Genomic DNA, 4588 nt, shown 5'->3' with positions numbered 1-4588 from the left:
CATAGTTTAAAAACCAAATAAAACAAGAAGGCTCATAATTATAAACAGCACTTGCCTCACTACTCTTCATCCCTTACCTCCTTCTTCTCAGAGATAGTCACTTGCATTTATTTTAGCTGATCTTTCTGGCACTTACCTCTATAATTCTAAGTAATAGGATTATGCTACCAATTCTTGATTTACATTTTTTAGACCTCATTTAGTGACTTCTATTTTACACAGTAAGTATTCCTCTCTCTTACATTCCACTCTCCTCCCTCTTCTGCTCAGCAGTGTATATAACAAATTTTAGCTCAATTATTAAATAGTGTTTACATTGAGATTGGGCAAACACTTTTAAATTGTGAAATCAATCCACAGGGTATGATTGCATTTCCTTTCTTGTCTGAAAGAAACCTTTCATGGGATTTTTTAGAATTATTAATTGCTTCTATTTTCACTGTAGTTTTAAAAAGCTAATATCCACATTTTTCTAAATATTCCATCAGAGACACCATATATCAATCAGCTGTTATTTTTCCCCATACTCAGAGGCATCAAAGTGTTTATTAATTCTCTACTTTACCTGGAAACTTTCTTCCCATAACCCTTTGACTTCCAATGCCAGTCCCCTGTCTCCTCAATCCCATGTGTTATTTTTTCCTTAATTTATTTTCTCATTTTGTTGGAGCATATTTTCTAGTTGCTGTAAACATTTCTTTATTTTTATGTTTTATTTTTTGCCCCTTTAAAATTGATTTTTATTTTTATGTCTTAGATATGTTACTTTTAAACAACCTGTATTTGGAATTTGTTCATTAGTTTGTCTTTTTTTTTTGATCCAGAAGGACAATCTTAGACTTCTAATTGCAGCAATTAGTCTATTTATACTTAATGTATTAACTGTACCTTTGTGTTTAAATCTACCATTTTATTTTGTACTTTCCATCATACCTGCTGTTCTATTTTTTCTCTCTTCTTCGCCTTCTTTTTGATTTTTCTAGTTTGAAGTTTCTTCCCCTTCATTAATTTGGAAGTTGTACACTTTGTTTCTATTTTCTTAGTGGTTATTCTAGAAATTATGATTCACATCCTTGACTTACCAAATGTTAATTATTACCTTTACCCTCCTCCTAGACAACACAAATTCAATACCACTTTCCCAAATTCAAAACTATTATTACAGTGTATTTAAATTCTCTATATATTTAAAACACTATAAAACATGTTATTATTTTACATAGCATTCATTTGGATTTACCCACATATTTACCATTTTTCTTGCTTTCCTTTTTTTCCCTCAGCTTTACCTTTCACCAATGATCATTTTCCTTATGTCTGAACTACATGCTCTAGAATATCTTTTAGTGCAGATCTACAGAAGACACCCTGTTTTTACTTGTCAAATAGAGTCATCATATTGCTTTAAATTTTGAGGTATATTTTTGATGAGTGTAGAATTCTAAGTAGGCAGTTATTTTCTATTACTGTGTTGAAGACATTCCCTCGTGCTGTTTTTTTTTTTTTTTTAACTTTTAGATTCACGGGTACATGTGCAGGTTTGTTGCATGGGTATATTGCATGATGCTGAGGTTTGGGTATTAATGATCCCATCACTCACATAGCGGGTATAGTACCCAACAGTTTTTCAACCCCTGTGCCCCTCCCCCATCTAGTAGTCCCCAGTGTCTATTCTTGACATTTTTATGTCCATGAGTTTAGCTCCCAGTTCTAAGTGAGAACACGCAGTATTTGGTTTTCTGTTCTTGTGTTAAATCACTTAGGATAGTGGCCTCCAGCTGTATCCATGTTGCTGCAAAGGACATGATTGCATTCTTTTCTATGGCTGTGTAGTATTGCATGGTATGTATATACTACATTTTCCTTGTCCAATCCACTGTTGATGGGAACCTAGGTTGATTCTGTGTCTTCATTTTTGTGAATAGTGCTGCAATGAACATACAAGTGCAGGTATCTTTTTGTTAGAAGAATCTTTTTTTTAAATAAAAGAAATAGGATTGCTGAGTTTAATGGTAATTCTGTTTTTAGTTCTTTGAGAAATCTCCAAACTGCTTTCCAAAGGGGCTGAAGTAATTTACATTCCTACTAACAGTGTATAAGTGTTCCCTTATCTCTGCAGCCTTGCCAGCGTCTATTGTTTTTTGACTTTTTAGTAATAGCCATTCTGACTGGTGGGAGATGGTACCTCTTTGTGCTTTTGATTTGCATTTTTCTGATTATTAGTGATGTTAAGCATATTTTCATATGTTTGTTGGCCACTTGTATGTCTTTTTAGTAGTGTCTGTTCATGTCCTTTGCTCATTTTTTAACGGAGTTGTCTTTGCTTGCTGATTTAAGTTTCTTTTAGATTCTGGATATTAGATCTTTTTTGTCCGATGCATAGTTTGTGAATATTTTCTCCCATTCTGTAGGTCTTCTTTTCACTCTGTTGGTAGTTTCTTTTGCTGTGCAGAGGGTGTTTGGTTTAATTAGGTCCAATTTGTCAATCTTTGTTTCTGTTGCAATTACTTTTGAGGATTAGTCATGAATTCCTCCCCAAGGCCAGTGTCCAGAATGGTATTTCCTAGGTTTTCTTCTAGGATTCTTACAGTTTGAGGTCTTACCTTTCAGTCTTTGTTTTTTGATACTGAGAAGTTAGTTGCCACTCTGTCACAACTTTGAAAGTGTTCTTTTTCTCTAGCTTATGATTTTCCCTTTCTCTTTGCTTTTCTTGCAAACCAAGGTATGGGTTTCTTTATATTTATCATATTAGGGATTTATTGAACTCCTGAATTTTTTGAATTGGTGTCATTCATCAGTTTTAAAAAACTCTTGGTAATTTTTTTTTTCATTTACTGTCTGTACCCCATTACTCTCCTTATGGTCTATTTGGAGACCTATGTCTCCAAGACATAACATACATATGTTAAAATTTTCATTCTATGTTAAGTGTTGATAAACTGTGGCTTTGGAGGTAGTCACCTGTTTTTGTAAATAAAGTTTTGAATATAGTCATGATTATTCAGTTGCTTGTTGTCTATGGCTTTTTTTGAACTATAGTGGCAGAATTGACTAGTTACCACAGAGACAGTATGGCCTGCATGATCTGAAATATTGACTCTCTGGCCATGCAAACAAATATTTGGCAATCAATACTCATCCTTTCGTTTTTTTCTGGATACTTTCTTCTAATTTATATTCCAGTTCCCTAATCTAATATTTGGCTATATCTGTTCTACCTGTATATCTGGTAAACCTGTAGAATTCTTAACTATAGTTACTGTATTTTTTAGTTCTAGAATTTCTACTCAGTCCTTTTTCAAATAAAAGCAACTTTTTAAAGTTTCCACTTCCCAATTGAAATGTTCAAGATTTTCTTTTTCAGTCTGAAGACAGAAAACATGATTTTGGTGGCTGTGCCCAATACTTTCACTATCTGAAATCTTTGTGGGCTTGTTTCTGTTGTCTTTTTTTACTCCCTGGTTATGTCTCATACAGACCTTATGCTTAACATTGTATTTGAAATCTTATTCGTAGAAATAATTTGGGCATAGATTGAAAACATCTACCTCCACAGAAAATTTTAATTTGCTTCTGACACTCTAGACTACCTTAATTGAAATTTCAGGCTTGAGATTCCCTGGATCATCCATATGAGAACAGTGTTGATTTCAATTTATTCTTTCTCTAACAGCAGCGATTCTCAAACTTGTTTGTACATTTGAGTCACCTGGGAAACTTTAAAATGTACTGATGCTTGTTTCCTACAGTCAGAGATTGTGATTTGAATGGTCTCTGGTGTTACCTGGGCTTTGGAATTTTTAAAAGCTCTCCAGTGATTCTAATGTGCCCACAAGTTTGGGAAGCTCTGCCCTAAGAGTAAAGCCCTTCAGGACCTTCATTTAATGTGTGGGTATTTATCAGACTTTCCACTTGGCAGGTCCTTTTATCTATTTTGTTCAGTGAGGCTGCCAAATACCACAGCTCCATACTGCAGCTGTTTCTTCCTAATCAGGGCCAGTGCATCTGTGAGTACTTGCTTTTTCCTTCTTATATTCTCCCAAGTTTTTGGCATGGTAATCCCTCACTAGTTTGCTTTTTAAGGATTTTAAGAAAAAAAGTATGTATGTATATATTCATCCTCTACGTTACTCAATATACATATATAGCTGTTTTAGTCAACCTCATCAGGAGGATTGGTCTAGACTGCCATTAAGATAACTGAAAGTCCTCCAGTTGCTTTTAAAAAAAAGAAATAGGGGTAGTGTTTTTGCATTCCTACTCTTCTGAAAATGTCTTTATTTTATCAACTCTCTGGAGTTATAGTCTGGCTGAGATTCAAAGTCTAGGTTGAAACTTAATTTTCCTTCACATATTTGAAGGCACTATCTTATTGATCTCTTCTAACATTTATTGTAAGTGTTGTATAATCCTATTCCTTCCTCATGCTTATTTTCTTGTAAGTGACTTTTCCCCTCTCTTTGGGGACACAATTATCTCATAATGTTTCTCACATAATTTGGGGGTAACACATAATCTCACAATTACATAGTTTGGCATAGGGTGGGCCTTAATTAATTTATTTTTCTGTTCATAAAAGCAATGTGTT

The sequence above is a fragment of the Homo sapiens genome, chromosome 5, assembly GCF_000001405.40.
Source record: "Homo sapiens chromosome 5, GRCh38.p14 Primary Assembly".
NCBI lineage: Eukaryota > Metazoa > Chordata > Mammalia > Primates > Hominidae > Homo > Homo sapiens.
The sequence above is the reverse complement of the archived record's forward strand: the minus strand, read 5'-3'. Positions refer to the sequence as shown.